Raw genomic sequence first — 19,161 nt, forward strand, 5'->3', positions numbered from 1 at the left:
TTCCTGCCTCTTTTTCTGCATCTCTCACACCTCCTGAGGCTCTTCTTCTCAATTCCCAGTTCCAGTCTGAGCAGGACACTGTGATTGTCCAAAGGCTGCACTGCTGCACCCTGTGGTGTGCAGAGCCAGTTCTTATGATGAGAGCCAGTTATGCACATGTCTTACCAGCTCTGCCTGTGTTCTGTGGCATCTGCCACGGTGGGAGTATTTACACCAGGGAAATGGGCAAATGCCACTGATCGGGTTTATTTGTTTGTCTTTACGGAAAGCTATTTTACCAGCAAGGCTCACCGGAACCTTCTTTTCCCTAATGTGCACTATGCTTCCTTCCTCAAAATCTCACCTCCCAAATTGCATCCCTTCAGGAAATGTAGGTTTCAGCGAGGCTTGGATTTAGGCAGTTCTGGGTTCATATTCCTTTCTGCTGCATATCGTATCTGCTGTGTGTTGGGCAGTGTAGGGACACTTTCTAGGACTCAGTTGTAACATGGGATTATGTCTCTTCTGCATAGGGCTGTTTTAAGACTGTGAAAACACAGTGTTGTATGTAACACGCTAGCACAGGACCATGGAGTTGAGCTCAGCAGTTGGTAGCTATTATTTCAATAAGCTGATTCAAATCACTCTGCTAAAGATATGAATGACTAAAGGATATAGTCATGCCTGTCATTTCAGCATTTTGGGAGGCCAAGGCAGGAGAATCATTTGAGGCCAGTCATTAGAGACTAGCCTGGGTAACATAGGGAGACCCCTATCTCTAAAAAAAAAAAAAAAAAAAACAATTAGCAGGGCATCATGGCAGGCACCTGCAGTCCTAGCCACTTGGGAGGCTGAAGTGGGAGGATTGCTTGAGCCCAGGAGTTTGAGGTTACAGTGAGCTATGAGCTCACCACTGCACTCCAACCTATATGACAGGGTGAGATTTATTTACTAAATAAAGAAATAATAAAAATAAATAAAAGTGACTATCTACATTTCAGCATCACTATGCACTGGCAATTGTATGCAATGTCAGTAATAAAATACTCCCATCGCGGCAGATCCTTCCTCTGCCCACCTTTGAAAGGTGGCTAGTGATGTGTTGGGAACAGGCACCCCAAAATCTGGCCATAAACTGGCCCCAAAACTGGCCATAAAGAAAATCTCTGCCACACTGTGACATGTTCGTGATGGCCATGATGCCCATGCTGGAAGGTTGTGGGTTTACTGGAATGAGGGCAAGGAACACCTGGCCCACCCAGAGTGGAAAACCACTTAAAGGAGTTCTTAAACCACAAACAGTAGCATGAGTGATCTGTGCCTTAAGGATGTGCTCCTGCTGCAGGTAACTAGCCAGAGCCCATCCCTCTGCTTCGGCCCATCCCTTTATTTCCCATAAGGAATAGTTTTAGTTAATCTATAATCTATAGAAACAATGCTTATCACTGGCTTGCTGTGATGATTTATGTGGGTAAATCTCTGTTCGAGGCTCTCAGCTCTGGAGGCTGTGAGACCCCTGATTTCCCACTCCACACCTCTATATTTCTGTGTGTGTGTCTTTAATTCTTCTAGCGCCACTGGTTTAGGGTCTCCCCGACCGAGCTGGTCTCGGCAGTGATGTGCTTTTGTGACTGTTGTATCGAAAAGAAGCAGAATGACCCACATAACCCTCTCATTTGTAGGTTGGTGCAAAAATAATCGCGGTTTTTGCCCATTGCTTTTAATGGCAAAAATCACAGTTACTTTTGCACCAACCTAATAAAATGAGGAGGCGGGGATTTCATTGCTCTTGTCATTTAAGCAGAGTCGTGGTTCTACCTTCCCAGGCCCCTGCCATCCTCCCCATCTAAACTCCCAGGAGAGTTGGCAACCCACTTCTGGAAGGCTGCCCACACCTTCTCTAATCTGAGACCAATTGAGAACTCTAACCCAGCTCTAAAACAAATTCTAGTCTTCTAAGAAAAGTAGCAATGATGTTAGTAGTTTCCTAATTTTTTATAATCCAGAAATGTCACTCTTATGTGGCAGTGAATTCGCACATTCCCAAGGAACCAAGTGACTCAACATAACACAACAGTCACCCCCAGGATGTAATGTGACACGCACAGGCCCCTCCGTTCCAGGAGATGGTTTGCCCATAATCTGGGGACGAAATCGCTGGAGGCCTTGCATGTGGGTGTTGCGTTACTGTGGGAGGGTTTTGTTGGCATCAAGGCTACCTTTAATGAATGGGCTTTAATAAATCAAAGAGATGTGGCTAATAAATGCGTTTCATGACATGCCTTAAACAAAACAAAACAAAAAAAAAACCTCTTGTAACTTTTAAATATTTTGATTTATAAAAAAAGAAAAAAAAAAGACTTCCATTTAAAAAGTTTCCAATTTGTGGAGATAAAGCTTGTTTTTGTCCTGCCTTCTCCCATCCTCTTTCTGTGCCAGCTCTGCCATGGGAAGGCATTCTTAACATTTTTCTGAGTTCTTATGGTTGGAAGGGGACTTTGGCTCTTTTGGTGTTTCTATCCAAGCCCTCTTTTCTGCATCAAAGGCCATCGTTCACTCTGGGCCTTTGAAGTCAGGCAAAATTTTGTTGTTGGTGGGATTTAGCATCTACTCATAAACTGCATATAAATGCCAGTGCGGATATGACTCACCAAAAAGAATCGAACCTTCTGACGTTCGGGTCAGACTTAGCAGTCTTTTATCTAGAGAAAGAAAACAAAACTTGCCTTGGCTCTAAGTTTAAGCTGTTGAATTAAGATTCCAGTGAGTGGGTAAAGGGCCTTCGAGACATTTGCTTAGTCACCATTTTCATTTTTCTTCCTCGTGGAGGTTCTTCCTGCGTGTTAAACTACCAGGGCAGGATAGGGATTTTGTGAGCATCTGTAGGCTGGCTTCTGCTCCCAGCCTTTCATTCATCTTGAATGTTCCCGTCCTCATGGATGAAAGGATAGCAACAAAGTTTGCCAGCAGCAGAGCTGGTGGTCCTCTTGAGATTCTGTAGTTTTCCTTCTTGTGGTCCAAAATTTTGTCTCACTGTTGTTTCTCTGCTTTTGGTACAAAGTCATGGAAATTTACAAGGTACAGAAAGATGGCGTTTAGGCCAGGCATGGTGACTCACGCCTGTAATCCCAGCAATTTGGGAGGTCTAGGTGGGTGCATCACTTGAGGTCAGGAGTTGAAGACCAGCCTAGTCAATATGGTGAAACCCTGTCTCTACTAAAAATACAAAAATTAGCCAGGCATGGTGGCGCATGCCTGTAATCCCAGCTCCTCAGGAGGCTGAGGCAGGAGAATCGCTTGAGCCTGGGAGGTGGAGGTTGCAGTGAGCCAAGATTGCACCCCCCGCACTCCAGTCTGGGTGACAGAGTGAGACCCCGTCTCAAAAAACAAAAAGGTGACATTTATATTTGGAAATTATTGTCTTTCATTTTTTAAGTTTGGAGCTTAGCATCACTGACACCAGGATAAGAAGATCCAGCCAGGTGCCATGGCCCTAATGTGTACAGCTCATGCCTTTCTGCAGGGATTAAGGTGGGCGTTTTCAAATTGTGATTGCAGCCCATGGTAGGAAAAGATTTTCACTTTTTGGCCCAGTGGAACACATACTCATATACACACAACTGAAAAAGAAATGTTTAAATTACAAAACAGTGTTTATACTTTCTTCATGTGATGCCCTTTGTTGTTTTCTAAACTACTCTATGCTTTATTTTCAAAAATTGCTGGTTACAACTCACTAATGATTTCAAGACTCATGAATGAACCTCAAATCACAATTTGGAAAACTCTGGCTTGAGGTGTGTTTGGGACCTGGAATCAGCCTGCACTTCCAATCCAGGAAAGAAAAGTGGAAGAACATGAGCACGTGAGAGGAGTGAGAGGCTGGGGTGGAAGAGGTTCTCTCTGGACAGTCTTCCCACCCACCCCAGGCCAGCCCATGACAGCCCAAGCAGTTCTTGCCATTTAACTCTTGTTTGCAGTTAACGCCAATGCTTGTTTGGCTGAAAAATGCACCTGTCCGCTATGTGGTTGCCATTTCAAAGTAGAAAACTCCAGAACAGTGGTGATAGGGTAGAGCTAGCATTTTTAAAAGAATTTTCTTTACAAAATGTTGGCAAGGATAAGAACCACATATGCAAATAAATGACCGTGGTCCCCTTTATATTTTGCTGAGCAAAATATAGTAGCTGGGATTACAGGCACCCAACACCACGCCTGGCTAATTTTTGTAGTTTTAGTAGAGATGAGGTTTCACCATGTTGGCCAGGCTGGTCTCAAACTCCTGACCTCAGGTGATCCGCCCGCCTTGGCCTCTCAAAGTGCTGGGATTACAGGTGTGAGCCACCACACCCAGCCGTGTTAGCTACCATTATTTAAAGATATCTTTATTAAGATATCATTTACATAGCATAAAATTCACATTTTCCAAGTGTACAATCCCATGATTTTCAGTGAATTTACTGAGTAGTGCAACCGTGACCACAGTCCAGCATGGGACATTCCCACCATCTCAGAAGTCTTCCTTGTGTCCATTTCTGTCACTCTGTGACCTCACCTTCAGCCTCAGGCACCCACTCATCTACATTCTGCCTCTAAAGGTTTGCCTCCTCTGAATCCTTCATATAAGTGGAATCATACCTACGCAGTCTTTTGTGTCTGCAGTGTTAGCTCTTACTGCTTTAAAAAATCAAATCATTGGCCGGGCGCTTTGGCTCACGCCTGTAATCCCAGCACTTTGGGAGGCTGAAGCGGGTGGATCACGAGGTCAGGAGATCAAGACCATCCTGGCTAACACGGTGAAACCCATCTCTACTAAAAATTCAAAAAATTAGCCGGATGTGGTGGCGGGTGCCTGTAGTCCCAGCTACTTGGGAGGCTGAGGCAAGAGAATGGCATGAACCTGGGAGGCAGAGCTTGCAGTGAGCAGAGATCGTGCCACTGCACTCCAGCCTGGGCGACAGAGCGAGATTCCGTCTCAAAAAAAAAAAAAAAAAATTCAAATCATTATTAAACATTTTTACTAATTAAATGGTTTTGGAGTACATTCTTTAAAAAAAAAAATAAACTGTGTTTTCTTCAACAGTGCACGCATAATGCCAACTTTGTACGACATTGCAAAGAAAGATTTTACTATGATAAGCAGATTAAACAAACAAACAAACTTTTCCCTGAATTCTTTGGGAACAAAGCACTACCTGGTCCAAAACATCCTAACCTAGAATGCACCATCAGCTTGACAGTCAGTTGTTCCTGGATTTACCAGATTTGGGGCAGACTTTTCATGCTTCTCTAAAGAGGGATTCTTAACTGACACTGTGCCTTGTTTTTGCCCCTTTCCTAGGAAAGGAAATGATTTGATTTGGTATCATACCATCTTTCTTGCTTTTTTTTTTTTTTAAATTAGAGATGAGGTCTTGCTATGTTTCCCAGGCTGGTCTCCAACTTCTGGGCTCAAGCGAACCTCCTGTCTCAGCCTCCCACCCAAAATGCTGGGATTACGGGTGTGAGCCACTGTGCCCGGCCTCTTTCTTGTCTTTTAAACAAATAAATGTAAGCCAGACATGGTGTGCATTCATATATTCCCAGGTACTTGAGAAACTGAGGCAAGAGGATTGCTTGAGCCTAGGTTTGAGCCCAAGAGTTCGAGGCTGCAGTGAGCTATGATTGCACCACTGCACTCTAGCCTGGGTAACAGAGTGAAACCCTGTCTCTAAAGAACTAAACTAAACTAAAATAACAAATAATACCTACATGCATGGGGATGCCAGTTGAGGGGCTGGAGGTGAGGTTTAACTGGGCTCTCTCCAGAGAGAGAAAGAAGCTTAATGCTTCTTTCAAGTAATTTCTGGTCTGTCTTTACCTATGTGGATCTCAAGCCAACATTTGAGAAAAGGCCCCCTTCAGTGAAGGAATGTGTGACCTTAAGTGGTGAGTGAGAGAAACTTCCTTTCTAGCCAGGTCCTTCCTGGGACCTAACTCCATGCATCTGCTTCCTTAACGCCAGCACCTCTCCTCCATTTGCCCCTTAGTTTAATTCCCAGGGTCTTTGCGCTTGTCAACAGGTTACTTCCCACCCGCTTCCTGCAGAGGGCTTTGTTTTCTGGGGTCAGAGACAGCATGAGCCCACAGGGCCATCCCCACTGCCCCCTTCTCAGGGTGCAGCCCCGGGGAAATGAGCAATGGGACTTGGACAGAGCTCACCAATTCCTTCTGGGGGAAGCTGATGGTGCCTTCAATTTTTGTTTTTGCTTCAGATGAATTAAAAAACAAAACCGTGTGTGAAGACCAGGAGCTGAAACTGCACTGCCATGAATCCAAGTTCCTCAACATCTACTCTGCGACCTACGGCAGGAGGACCCAGGAAAGGGACATCTGCTCCTCCAAGGCAGAGCGGCTCCCCCCTTTCGGTATGTGCTTTTGTGTGTGTATTAGCCAGGGTTCTCTAGAGGGACAGAATTAATAGAATATATATATATATATCCTATATATATCCTATATGATTGTGAAAGTCAATACTTAACACAATCACGATCTTGTGATCGTGTAAGTTAATACTTAATAAACTCCCGTGTGTGTGTGTATGTATATATATATAAATGCTTGTAAACAGTAATCTGCCAAAAATAAATAAGTAAAAGAACAAGAACTGGCCGGGCGCAGTGGCTCACGCCTATAATCCTAGCACTTTGGGAGGCTGAGGTGGGTGGATCACGAGGTCAGAAGTTCAAGACCAGCCTGGCCAACATGTGAAACCCCGTCTCTACTAAAGCTACAAAAATTAGCCAGGCATGGTGGCGGGCACCTGTAATCCTAGCTACTTGGGAGGCTGAGGCAGGAGAATTGCTTGAACCCGGGAGGTGAAGGTTGCAGTGAGCCGAGATCGTGCCATTATTGCGCTCCAGCCTGGGTGACAAGAGCAAGACCCTGTCTCAAAAAACAAACAAACAAACAAAAAAACAAAACAAACAAAAAAACAAGAACTTAAGACATAAACACTAAGAATAGTACCCAGCTCCCCTTTATATATATATAAAGAATAGTACCCAACTCCCCTTTATATATATACATAAAGGGGAGTTTATTAAGTATTAATTTACACGATCACAGGTCCCACTATAGACTGTCTGCAAGCTGAGGAGCAAGGAGAGCCAGTTCAAGCCTCAAAACTGAAGAACTTGGAGTCTGATGTTCAGGGGCAGGAAGCATCCAGCACGGGAGAAAGATGTAGACCTGGAGGCTAGGGCAGTCTCTCCTTTTCACATTTTTCTGCCTGCTTTACATTTGCTGGCAACTGATTAGATTGTGCCCACCAGATTAAGGGTGAATCTGCCTTTCCCAGCCCACTGACTCAAACGTTAATCTCTTTTGGCAACACCCTCACAGACACACCCAGGAAATACTTTGTATCCTTCAATCCAATCAAGTTGACACTCACTATTAACCATCACAGTAGGGTTATACACAGGGCGCCGTCTGAGTGGATTAGGGCCCTGGCTCCCCAAGAAAGGAAGCTATGCCAGCGGGCAGTGCCTGGATTAAAGGGAAAGTCAAGGGCAGGGAGGAACCGCCACACCATGCACAGGCTCTTTCTCCTCCACATTCCTGAATCCCTCAGTTGTTCCGTCATTCCACACTGAGTAGTTATTGAGCACCTGCTGTATGCTGGGCCCTGTTCTAAGCATGGGGGAGTCATCAATGGCACAACACAAAGTCTACACCCTCGTGGAGCTGACGTTCCAGCAGTGGATGGGGAAGTGGTGAGAAATCAGATAATGAATGGGTGCATATGTCATATGTCAGGTGCAGATGGGATAAGTGCTAAGGAGAAAAATCCATGGGGAAGGGCAGGTGGAGAAGGCCAGGGGTTCCTGCAAAGAGGTGCAATTTTAGGGAGTGATGGGCATGCTGGGCTTGGAGGAGGTGAGAAAGTGAGCCTGCAGCCAGTTGGGGACAAGTGTCCAGGTAGAGAGAAGAGTGGACGCAACGCCCTGAGGCTGGACTGTAGCTGGGTATTCAGTGCTAAGAAGGGCTCTGCAAGTCATTCTTCTTAGAGGTGATGGCCATGGTAGGACTAAGAGCTTCACTCATCAAGCCCTCCTATATGATTCAGAGAAACAGAACCGATAGGATACGCAGGTGCTTGTATCTATGGAGAGATTTTAAAGAATTAGTTCACAGGGTGGTAGGGGCTGGCAAGTCTGAAACCTGTAAGGCAGGCCGGCAGGCTGGAGACCCAGGAAAGAGTTGAGGCTGCAGTTTTACATCTGAATTCTGCAGGACAGCAGGCTGGAAACTCACGCAGAACTTCTGTGTTGCAGCCTTGAGGAAGATTCCTTTTTAGGGAAACCTCGGTCTTCGCTTCTAAGGCCTTCATCTGATGAGATGAGGCCCATCCACGTGGTGGAGTTCATCTGCTTGACTCAAAGTCTACTGCTTTCAACATCAGTCACATCTTAACACTTTCACAGCAACATCTGGGCTGGTGTTTGGCCAGACAACTGGGAGCAATAGCCTAGTCAAATTGACATGTGAAATTAACCATCACACTCCAATCTGTGCTGGTGAAAAAGCTTGATCTCTCTCTGCTGTATTACCAGAGAGAACAGACCCAGCTGTGAAACAGCCCAAGGACCTGCGCTTATTGATCAAAATCTAAAATGAGCTCCTTAATATGTTAAATTGCTACAATGTATGTGTGGATCGCAGGTGAAATTCAACATTAATTTAAAAAAGAAATGCATGCCTAAGTAATACCTTGGACCTGAAAAAAAGAAAATGAACAAAAAGTGAGCTAAGCGCACTTTAACTCAGGTGAGTCTCAAGAGAAAACAAAAAAAGCCATTTGGAACACGTGCCTCCCAAATGCGAAGCCCCGTATTCCGGGAAGGCCCTTGTGTCGAGAATGGTGGAGGGTCTGTTGGAGGGCAGCCCAGGCAGACTGCAAAAGCAGGCTGGTGTGGGCATACACTGCCCTTAACTCGATCTGGGCATGAGCATTCCTGTCCTGACAGGCTCAGCAGCCAAATGGGGCAGAGAGGCACGTGTGAGGTGGGTCCCCATTGTCCATTAATGACACTACCCACTGTCCTGGTCCAGTAAGTTGACTTGTGAGCTCCTGAACCCCATCTTCCCTCTCTGATAACACCTGCGTGTGTTCATTTCTCTCTCTTAAATGTCTCCACTCCCTCCTCCTTTCTCCCTGCTACTGCCTTAGGGAAAGGGACCATTGCTGGGCCACTGTAGCCATCTCCTTACTCCCAGGCTTGCCTTTCTCCCCACAGTGGCCTCAGCTATCTTTCTTTCTTTCTTTTTCTTTTTCTTTCTTTTTTTTTTTTGAGATGGAGTCTCCCTCTGTTGCCCAGGCTGGAGTGCAATGGTGCGATCTCGGCTCACTGCAACCTCCGTCTCTAGGGTTCAGGTGATTCTCCTGCCTCAGCCTCAGGAGTAGCTGGGATTACAGGCGCCCGCCACCATGCCTGGCTGATTTTTGTATTTTTAGTAGAGACGGGGTTGCACTGTGTTGGCCAGGCTGGTCTCAAACTCCTGACCTCAGGTGATCTGCCTGCCTTGGCCTCCCACAGTACTGGGATTACAGGCGTGAGCCACTGCACCCGGCCCAGGTAGCTTTCTTAAAGGCAAATCTGTCACTAACCCTTCCTAACACCCTGCAGGGGCTCCCTGTATTATATGGTTCCTTAGCTGGATGAGGGACCCTTGGTGTTTTAACTTCTTCCTGCAAAAAGGGGCTTCACTTTTTTTTTCTTTAATTCTTAACCTTTATAATATTCAAGAATGCCTTTCCAGAACAGGGATTGTGCAAGGCATTGTGGATCTACGTCTTCTTTACGGGCTCTGTGTTCCCCTACTCCCACTCCTTTTTTTCTTTTTTCTTTTTTTTTTTTTGAGACAGAGTCTCCGTCTGTCACCCAGGCTGGAGTGCAGTGGCACGATCTCGGCTCACTGCAACCTCCACCTCTGGGTTCAAGCAATTCTCCTGCCTCAGCCTCCCAAGTAGCTGGGATTACATGTGCATGCCACCATGCCCAGCTAATTTTTGTAGTTTTAGTAGACACAGGGTTTCACCATGTTGGTCAGGCTGGTCTCGAACTTCTGACCTCAGGTGATCCACCCACCCTGGCCTCCCAAAATGCTGGGATTACAGGCGTGAGCCACTGCGCCCAGCCTCCATTTCCTTTTTTTTTTTTTAGACGGAGTCTTGCTCTGTCCCCCAGGCTAGAGTGCAGCGGTGCGATCTCAGCTCACTGCAAGCTCTGCCTCCCAGTTTCATGCCATTCTCCTGCCTCAGCCTCCCGAGTAACTCGAACTACAGGTGCCCGCCACCACGCCCCACTATTTTTTTGTATTTTTAGTAGAGACAGGGTTTCACTATGTTAGCCAGGATGGTCTCGATCTCCTGACCTCGTGATCCACCCACCTCAGCCTCCCAAAGTACTGGAATTACAGGCGTGAGCAACCGCACTCGGCCTCCATTTCTTAATATTGCAGAGAAGCACCTCATTTCCCAGGCTTACTAGTCTAACTTAGCCACATGTGTTTTAAGAAGCAGCAGTAAGTAACATCCCTGTCAGTTGTTCTTTTCAGCAGAATTCAGTTGGCCAAGCAGGTAAATCTGTAAGCCGAATGGTTTGTGTTCACTTGGTCACTGCCTTTCATTCCTAGGAATGGTAGATGAAAGTTGGATTTAATTAATTAATTTATTTATTTATTTATTTTTGAGACAGACTCTCGCTCTGTCGCCCACGCTGGAGTGCAATGGTGTGATCTCCGTTTACTGTAACCTCCACCTCCCGGGTTCAGGTGATTCTACTGCCTCAACCTCCTGAGTAGCTGGGACTACAGGCATGTGCCACCACACCCAGCTAATTTTTGTATTTTTAGTAGAGATGGGGTTTTACCATGTTGGCCAGGCTGGTCTCGAACTCTTGACCTCAAGTGATCCACCCGCCTTGGCCTCCCCAAAGTGCTGGGATTACAGGTGTGAGCCACTGCGCCCGGCTGAGAGTTGGATTTAAAAAGGAAAAGTATACCAGACGCAGTGGTTTATGCCTGTGTAATCCCTGCTACTCTGGAGGTTGAGATGGGAAGATCCCTTGAGGCCTGGAGTTTGAGGTTGCAGTGAGCTATGATCGCACCTCTGCACTCCAGCCTGGGCCACAGAGAAAGACCCTGTCTCTTAAAAGAAAAAAAAAAAGGAAAAGTAATTAAAGAAAGTGTTAGCAGATCCCATGGCCTAAAAGACAGGTTTCCATGGAGAGTGGAGGAATTCTGAGGTCAGCCAGCAGTGTTAACGCCCTCAGAAACCCTGATGTAGAAAGGACTGTGAAGAAAAGTCTGTGACTCTGCTCTGTGCCCCTTGCTTGGCTGTTCAAGGTAAAAAGCTCCAGCTCACAGAGTGAAAGCCTGCTCGCCCTTCTCCCTCACAATCAAGCACTTGCGTCCATTGCCCTTGGTGTACGTGCAAGGGTGAGGACCAGACTCTTCTCTGCATTTGTGGCCATAGCCAAAATGCCAGAGCCCTTCTTGCCCTGTGCTCTGCAGCACAAAGAAGCTCAAAGACAAAAATCAAAGGGCCCTGAGGGTGCCCTGTTCATCAGGTCCTCAGCCTCACATGGAAGGCTCAGCTCTGACCTCACCATTCAGGTCAGTGCTAAGGGCAGAACCACGCATGCGTGTGGAAATACAAACCTTTGGCTCTCTGAGCTGGTGCATTTTCTCCATCTAATTGAATGCTATGAAATCATTTGCTTCTTGGCCCAGGAGCCAATAACACCTGCGTGTGTTCCAACAACACCTGTGTGTGTTCAGTTGGATGCTGTGCTCTTCTCTCTCTTAAATGTCTCCACCTTCTCCTCCCTTCTCCCTGCTACTGCCTTAGGGAAAGGGACCATTGTCGGGCCACTGTAGCTGTACATGAAGGCTTTAAACTGCACTCGGCCTGTTCTCCCCAGAGAATCATCAGTTTACCCCTCGTGTCCAAACATGCTTTAATATCATCCACCTGAAAAAGCACACTGTTTTGACCTCCCGTCTCCTACCCGCTATCCGTCCCTCCCTTCAGTCCCATGGGCAGAGCATTTGCCGTCTGCAGAGAATTTGCAGACAGTCCCAGGGCGGTCCCATGGTGGCACCTCTCTAATCTGTCCACTTTGCTCCCAGCCTCCTCCGGGCATCTCTCCCCTGGACATCGAAGCTGCCTCCCCTCTTCGCTTAGCAGCCAGAGGGATTGTATTTATTTATTTCAAAAAAATTGTTGGAGACAGGGTCTCGCTCTGTCATCCAGGCTGGAATGCAGTGATGCACCAAGTGCAGCCTTCATGTATGGTCTATCTGAGCCAAGGAGAAAATGCCCTTAGCACTGTCCTGAACGGTGAGGTCAGAGCTGAACCTTCCATGTGAGGCTGAGGGCCAGATGAACAGGGCATCCTCAGGACCCTTTGATTTTTGTCTTTCAGCCTTTTTGTGCCACGGAGCACAGGACAAGAAGGGCTCTGGCATTTTGGCTGTGGCCGTGAATGCAGTGAAGTATTCATCATAGCTCACTGCAAGCCTCCAACTCATGGGCTCAAGCAATTCTCTCACCTCAGCCTCCTGAGTAGCTGGGACTACAGGTGCATGCCACCATGCCTGGCATGGTGGAGATGAAGTCTTGCTATTTTGCCCAGGCTGGTCTTCAACTCCTGGCCTCAAGTGATCCTCCCGCCTCAGCCTCCTAAAGTGCTGGGATTGCAGGCGTGAGCCACTGAGCCCGACCAGGATTTTATTTAAATTAAACCAGAGCACACCGCACCTCCGCTTAAAGCCCTCCACTCTGCACACTGTAATTGGAATACATCAGTCTTCAGCTGTGGTCCTGCTGCACACGCCTCTTCCCTCACTACCTCTGGAGCACTCCACCTTTATTCATACCCCTGGGCCTTTGCACAAGCTGTCCCTTTGACCTGGACTGTGCTCACCCCATATCTTGTGTGGCTGGCTTTGCCACACAAGACATCGACCCAGATGTCATCTCAGAGAGGTTTCTCCAGGCACCGGCCAGCATGGCACCTCGTCCCTGCAGTCCCTCTCTGGCGACCCTTTTGTTGGACTTTCTCCACAGCATGGAGATAGACCATGGTATGTGTGTGTGGTTCATCTCCCCAGGAGCTAAGCAGCTCTGCAGGGACTGGTCTGTGGAATTCCCAGCAACTTAAGCAGTGCCAGGCATAGAGTGGGTGCTCACGTGAATCTTGAGGCACAGGAATGAATCAGAGCCCCTCTGAAGTGAGGTGCCCACACTCGGCTCCCGAGGATGGATAATCGTCTGGTTACAGACTGGGAATGTAGGCCTGGTGTCACAGCTTCCAACCTCATGGGATGCTGGAAATCTGGATTTTCTTTTTTTCTAAGTGAAATGTTCCAACTTCTAAAACATTGTGTGAGCCAAACAAAACATGCCTCCAGGGCGCACCTGGGCCACAGGCTGCCAGTGCATGTGTGATCTCTGCTCTGTGCTCCCATTTACTACTGCAGCTCAGCCTCGCTGCTTTCAAGGGGAAAAGGGTCTTTATCCTTAACCCTAGAAGCTGGCAGGAGTTTGGTGGGATGATTATGTGAGAGCGAGGGGTTGGTTTCACTGCAGACCTCTGTAAGGGAGCTTTGTGGTGAGTCCTGGAACATCTGGTTTGAGAGGATGATTTGTGTATTTTTCCTCTTGCCTATAAGTTAAAGTCTGGCAAAACCCCATTTGCTTTAGACTGGATACCCCCTTGGAACACACGCGGTGAAACCCAGTGTCCACAGTGTCTCTCCATGGTCAGGGACCACTTTGGATTTTATAGCAGCTTAGTGTGGCTTTAGTGCTGAGATGCTGTAAAAGAGCATTTCCAGTTCTTCTAAAATATCATCATCATCATCATCATCATCATCATTTTTATTGTTCTGCACAAACACCATCATAATATTTAACAGAAATGAGAAAAGGATTCAGCCACAAATGTTACTCATCAGCTAAAAAGTTCTTACTTTTTTTTTTTTTTTTTTTGGATTTCTCTCCAAGTCGAGTATGAGCTGAGGACTGTTTTACGTAATGGCAGTTCTAAGCAGATCCATTTGCAGACTGCCTTATTTTCCTTTGCTTTATATCATGTGTGTTTTTCCACGTGGCCAAAAAAAATCCTAACAATGCCGAGCACTTCCTAATATCTTGTTAAAAAGACACATCAAATAATTTACGTAACTGTTCCCTGGTGGCCAGATATTTTTCATTTTTTCTGACTTTCAAGTATTGTAAATAATGTATAATGAGCTTGTGCTTGTAGCTTTCCCTTTCTTCCGGCTGACTTCCAGCTGACTTCCTTGGAATAAATTCCCGGAAGTTTTATACCAAAAGATGGCATGAGTATGTTTACAGTTCTTCACAGAGTTCTTTCTAAAAACTTTATCTATCTATCTATCTATCTATCTATCTATCTATCTATCTATCTATCTATATAAACAGGAATGTATAACTGTGGTTTCCCTGCAACGCTGGCAGCTTTATGTATGATTTTTCTGCATGCTTCCAATTTAAGAGGTATAAAATAGTCCTTCGATGTGGTTTTTATTTTGCCTTTCTTTGACTGTGAATGACCTTGGCCATTTCCTCATATTTTTGTGGTTATTGTATTTGCACTTGCACACCTTGTCTCTCTAGCTTTTGCCTCTTTTTTTTTTCCTGTTGGGATCTTTATTGATTTATTTTATGAGTTCTTGGCAGAGTAGGGATAGTAACCCTTGACATGCTTTTTCTGCTGTAATTATCCCCCTATCCTCGGGTTTTTTGTTTTGTTTTGTTTTGTTTTTTGGCAGTTTGGGTTTGTTATGTAGGGCTGGTTGCCTTTTTGATTCTGTGTATGTCATATATAGGGAAGTTCAAGAGGGGCCGGGCGTGGTGGCTCACGACTGGAATCCCAGCACTTTGGGAGGCCGAGGCAGGTGGATCGCCTGAGGTCGGGAGTTTGAGACCAGCCTGGCCAACATGGTGAAACCATGTCTCTACTAAAAATACAAAATTAACCACATGTGGTGGCGCATGCCTGCAATCCCAGCCACTCCGGAGGCTGAGGCCGGAGAATCGCATGAACCTGGGAGGTGGAGGTTGTGGTGAGCCGAGATCGCGCCATTGCACTCCAGCCTGGACAACAAGAGTGAAACTCCGTCTCAAAATAATAATAATAATAATAAGTTCAAGAGGAAGAGGGTGGAGAAGTAGGGGCATGTGTGTGATCCCCCCAAGTTATCGGTGTGACTCCATCCTGCCCCATAAGCACCCCCAGGGCTGCCCGAGGCCTGGCTGCCAGTACTCCCGTATCCTGCACCGCAGTGGGACACACACTCCTGAGCATTTCCATAGACTTGAGGGTCCCCCCATCTGCGTCAAGAAAGCCTCCGAGCTCTGGGTGCAGAGGAGGGAGAGCAGTGCTGCAGTGTTCTGTATATGAAGCCCTAAGCTGGTCCCAACTGAACTGCATCAGGGCAGGCACGGAGGAGGTCAGTGTCGGCCACACACCCCACTCTGCTATTGAACAGAGCTTCCCAACCGCCCCATCATCAAGCACATAGACAGTTACATCCATATGGAAAGGGGGTAAAGAGAGATGCCACTGAATGCTGGCATCAATGGCCTGGGGACAGGTGGGGCCTGAGGGGACACATCCCAGCAAGTCTGTGTCCACTCACAGGTGAGCTGGGAAGCTCTGCCCTGAAGACGCACTTGGCTTTAGCACATCAAGATGACAGATACCAGGTTTCTCTTCAAGGCCCTTACATTTTCTCTAACATACCCCTCAAGGTCCCCCCAACTCGTGCTCACTGCCTGATCCCAAAGCCACCCCCACAGTTTGAGGATTTCATTACCCCGGCAACCCACTTCAAATATCAAAATGTGAATTCGTTTTCTAGTAAAATACCTCCAAGTTTAATGGCTTAAAACAAAATGTTTATTACTGTGGGACAGGAATTCAGGGATAGTGTAGTCTGGCAGTTCTTGCTCAGTCTCACGGGGTTTCAGGAAGTTGCAGCCCGGATGGTGGCTGGGGCTGCAGTCCCCTGAGGGCTGGACTTGCAAGGGGACTGGCTCATGGGTGGGTGGTTTGGTGCTGATTGTTGGTGGGAAACGTGAGTTTCTCCCCACATGAGTCTCTTATGTGTCCTTACAACACGGCAGCTGGCTTCCCCCAGAGAAAGTGATGCAAAAGAACTGGTGGAGCCATACGCTCTCACCTCCCCCGTACGCCCTCACCTCCCCCGTACGCCCTCCCCTCCCCTCCCCCGTACGCCCTCCCCTCCCCCGTACGCCCTCCCCTCCCCCGTACGCCCTCCCCTCCCCTCCCCCGTACGCCCTCCCCTCCCCCGTACGCCCTCACCTCCCCCGTACGCCCTCCCCTCCCCTCCCCCGTACGCCCTCCCCTCCCCCGTACGCCCTCACCTCCGCCATACGCTCTCACCTCCCCCATACGCTCTCACTCACCCTCACCTCTGCCATACGCTGTCCCCTCCGCCATATGCTGTCACCGCCACCATACATTATTGGTCCCCCACACAAGCTCTGGTTCACGGTGGGAGGAGGCTGCACAAACGCACGAATTCCAAGAGATGAGCCTCACTGGGGACCCTTTTGAAGGCTGTTATGAGCTAACTTATGTCCTCCCCAAATTCATATACTGAAGTCCTAACTCCCGGTACCTCAGAACGTGACCTTATTTGGGGATAGGGTCTTTAAAGAGATAATTAAGTTTTATATATATATATATTTTTTGAGACCACGTCTCACTCTGTCGCCCAGGCTGGAGTGCAGTGGCTCGATCTCAGCTCACTGCAACCTCCGCCTCCCAGGTTCAAGCAATTCTCCTGCCTCAGCCTCCCAAGTAGTTGGGACTACAGGCACGCACCACCAAGTCCCACTAATATTTTTGTATTTTTAGTAAAGACGGGGTTTCACCATGTTGGTCAGGCTGGTCTCGAACTCCTGACCTCAGGTGATCCTCCTGCCTCGGCCTCCCAAAGTGCTGGGATTTCAGGCATGAGCCACCGTGCCCAGCCTGATGTCTAATCTTGAAGGAGACTGACCCAAAGTCTTTTCTGAAAGATCTTACAGCAGGTGGGGTCCATCAGAATTTATGCCTCATCCGGCAGAAGAGAAACTGAAAGGAAGACATGAAAGTGACCATCACTGGTGACCAATGAACACCAGCAAAACAGCATTTTCACATGAGACAGGAGTGAGCTTTTCCCGAAGGCTGGGCCTGAGGCCGCCAGGCTTCAGAATGTGCCCCCTGTCTGGGCATCCACTGTGGTGCATAATTTCCCGCTGTGGTTTACATTTTCCGGGTGAGCTCCAGGGATTCTGCTATTTCCTTAATAAGAAGATGAGAAAAACCACACAATAGGCCTCAAAGGCTGGGCTAAGGCCACTCCGAGGCCAAGTGTGGGCAGGCCTGGACTTTTCAGCCAAAGATCGAGGTGCCAGAGGTTCCCACTGCCAAGACAGCGGCACTTAAGCAGCCAGCCTTATTATCTAAATAAACACAGGTTGGAAGGAGTAATTAACTTCAGTTTCACTGTTAAGTAATAGCCAAAAAGTAAAAATGTAAATGGTTGAATATCTTGTTATCACATGTATTGGGGGTGGAGGGCAGTTTGCCAGAAACAGAAGGTGCAGGCTGGGAGCGGTGGCTCACGCCTGTAATCCCAACACTTTGGGAGGCTGAGGCGAGTGGATTGCTTGAGGTCAGGAGTTCGAGACCAGCTTGGTCAACATGGGGAAACCCCATCTCTACTAAAAATATAAAAAATTTAACTGGGCATGGTGGCGCATGTCTGTAATCCTAGCTACTCGGGAGGCTGAGGCAGGAGAATCACTTGAACCTGGGAGGCGGAGATTGCAGTGAGCTGAGATCGTGCCACTGCACTCCAGCCTGGGCAACAGAGCAAGACTCTGTCCCTGCCCTCCCCAACCCCCCAGAAAAAAGAAGCAGCAGAAGGTGCAAATAAAATCAGCCTTGGAGGGAAATAACCACTAACAACAACAACAACAACAGAATCCTGCGAACCATTCAGAGCTCAGTGTCAACAAAGATACAGTCAGACCTGAATCAGACCTGAGTTGTCTTGGGCCTCTTCCTGTGGGTTCTTTCACTCTCACTAAAATAAATTCTTGCACTCCCAGAGTAACTGAAAAGTGCAAAAGCAACCCAGTGCAGTGGTTCTTTCCTGTGATCCCAGCACTTTGGGAGGCCAAGGTGGGAGGATCACTTGAGGCCAGGAGTTCAAGACCAGCCTGGGCAACATAGTGAGACCCCTATATCTACAAAAAAAATTTAAAAATTTAGCCAGGCATGGTGGCACATACCTGTAGTCCCAGCTACTCTTTTTTTTTTTTCTTCTTCTGTTAGCCTTAAGGAATATGGTCAGGCATATATCCTTAAAACTAAGAAAATATAGGTTTCCCAGGGTGCTCTCATAGAATTTTTGCAGCTGCATGCCTTGGTAAACTTTTTCTGGATAAGTTTGGCAGTATGTATTAAAAGCCTTGATGTTTGGAATACCCTTTAACAAAGCAACCTACTTCCAATAATTCCTATGGAAATATCATACTTGTTTGCAAATGTTCAGCTGTAAGATTATTCTACATAGCACTGCTTATAATATTAAAAAATAGAAATCATCTGAATGTCTGACAAAAGAGTATTATAAATAGGGTTGGATTCTTACACAGGAGGCTAAGGTGGGAGGATCACTTGAGCCCAGGAGTTGGAGGCTGTGGTGAGCAATAATCGTGCCACTACATTCCAGCCTGGTTGACAGAGCAAGGCCCTGTCTCTTAAAAAAAAAAAAAAGGTACCGAGTTGGTACATTCATAAAATGAAAGACAATACAACTCTTTAAAATATTGCTTATTTAAAATGTTCACAAATATACTAGTAAATGGGAAAGTGTAGCATACAAAGTAGTATGTATGTGATTCCAGCCTGAGCAACATGGCAAAACCCCATCTCTACAAACAATACAAAAATTAGCTGGATGTGGTGGCATGTCCCAGGCTAGGTGACAGAGCCATGGATAGCATAGTCCCAGCTACTCGGGAGGCTAACGTGGGAGGATTGCTTAAGGCCAGGGAGTCAAGGCTGCAGTGAACCGTGTCTG

General features: G+C 47.1%; 1 protein-coding gene across 17 annotated transcripts in view, besides 1 other annotated feature; it reads left to right on the top strand.

Annotated features, from left to right (window-relative positions):
- Nucleotides 1-19,161, top strand: part of EVA1C (eva-1 homolog C) — a 103,665-nt gene that overhangs the window by 49,740 nt on the left and 34,764 nt on the right. For 15 of the 17 annotated variants that reach the window (NR_135467.2, NR_104472.2, XM_017028420.2 and 12 more), the window contains one exon: nucleotides 6,234-6,386. Coding sequence is in view for 14 of the 17 variants with exons in the window: in XM_017028420.2 (XP_016883909.1) it covers nucleotides 6,234-6,386 (153 nt within the window). In the remaining 3 variants the exon portion in view is untranslated. Of the gene's footprint in view, nucleotides 1-6,233; nucleotides 6,387-8,576; nucleotides 8,791-19,161 lie in introns of all 17 variants that reach the window. The other 2 variants (XR_001754885.2, XM_006724038.4) reach the window with 2 other exon arrangements.
- Nucleotides 2,024-3,223: an enhancer, noted in NCBI's record as "P300/CBP strongly-dependent group 1 enhancer chr21:33835794-33836993 (GRCh37/hg19 assembly coordinates)". NCBI's record gives its function as "activates an origin of replication core promoter dependent on BRD2, BRD4, P300/CBP, MED14 and CDK7 cofactors, with strong dependence on P300/CBP, by STARR-seq in HCT116 cells {active_cell/tissue: HCT116}" and the evidence as "EXISTENCE:reporter gene assay evidence [ECO:0000049][PMID:35650434]".

The sequence above is a fragment of the Homo sapiens genome, chromosome 21 (assembly GCF_000001405.40).
Source record: "Homo sapiens chromosome 21, GRCh38.p14 Primary Assembly".
Lineage (NCBI taxonomy): Eukaryota > Metazoa > Chordata > Mammalia > Primates > Hominidae > Homo > Homo sapiens.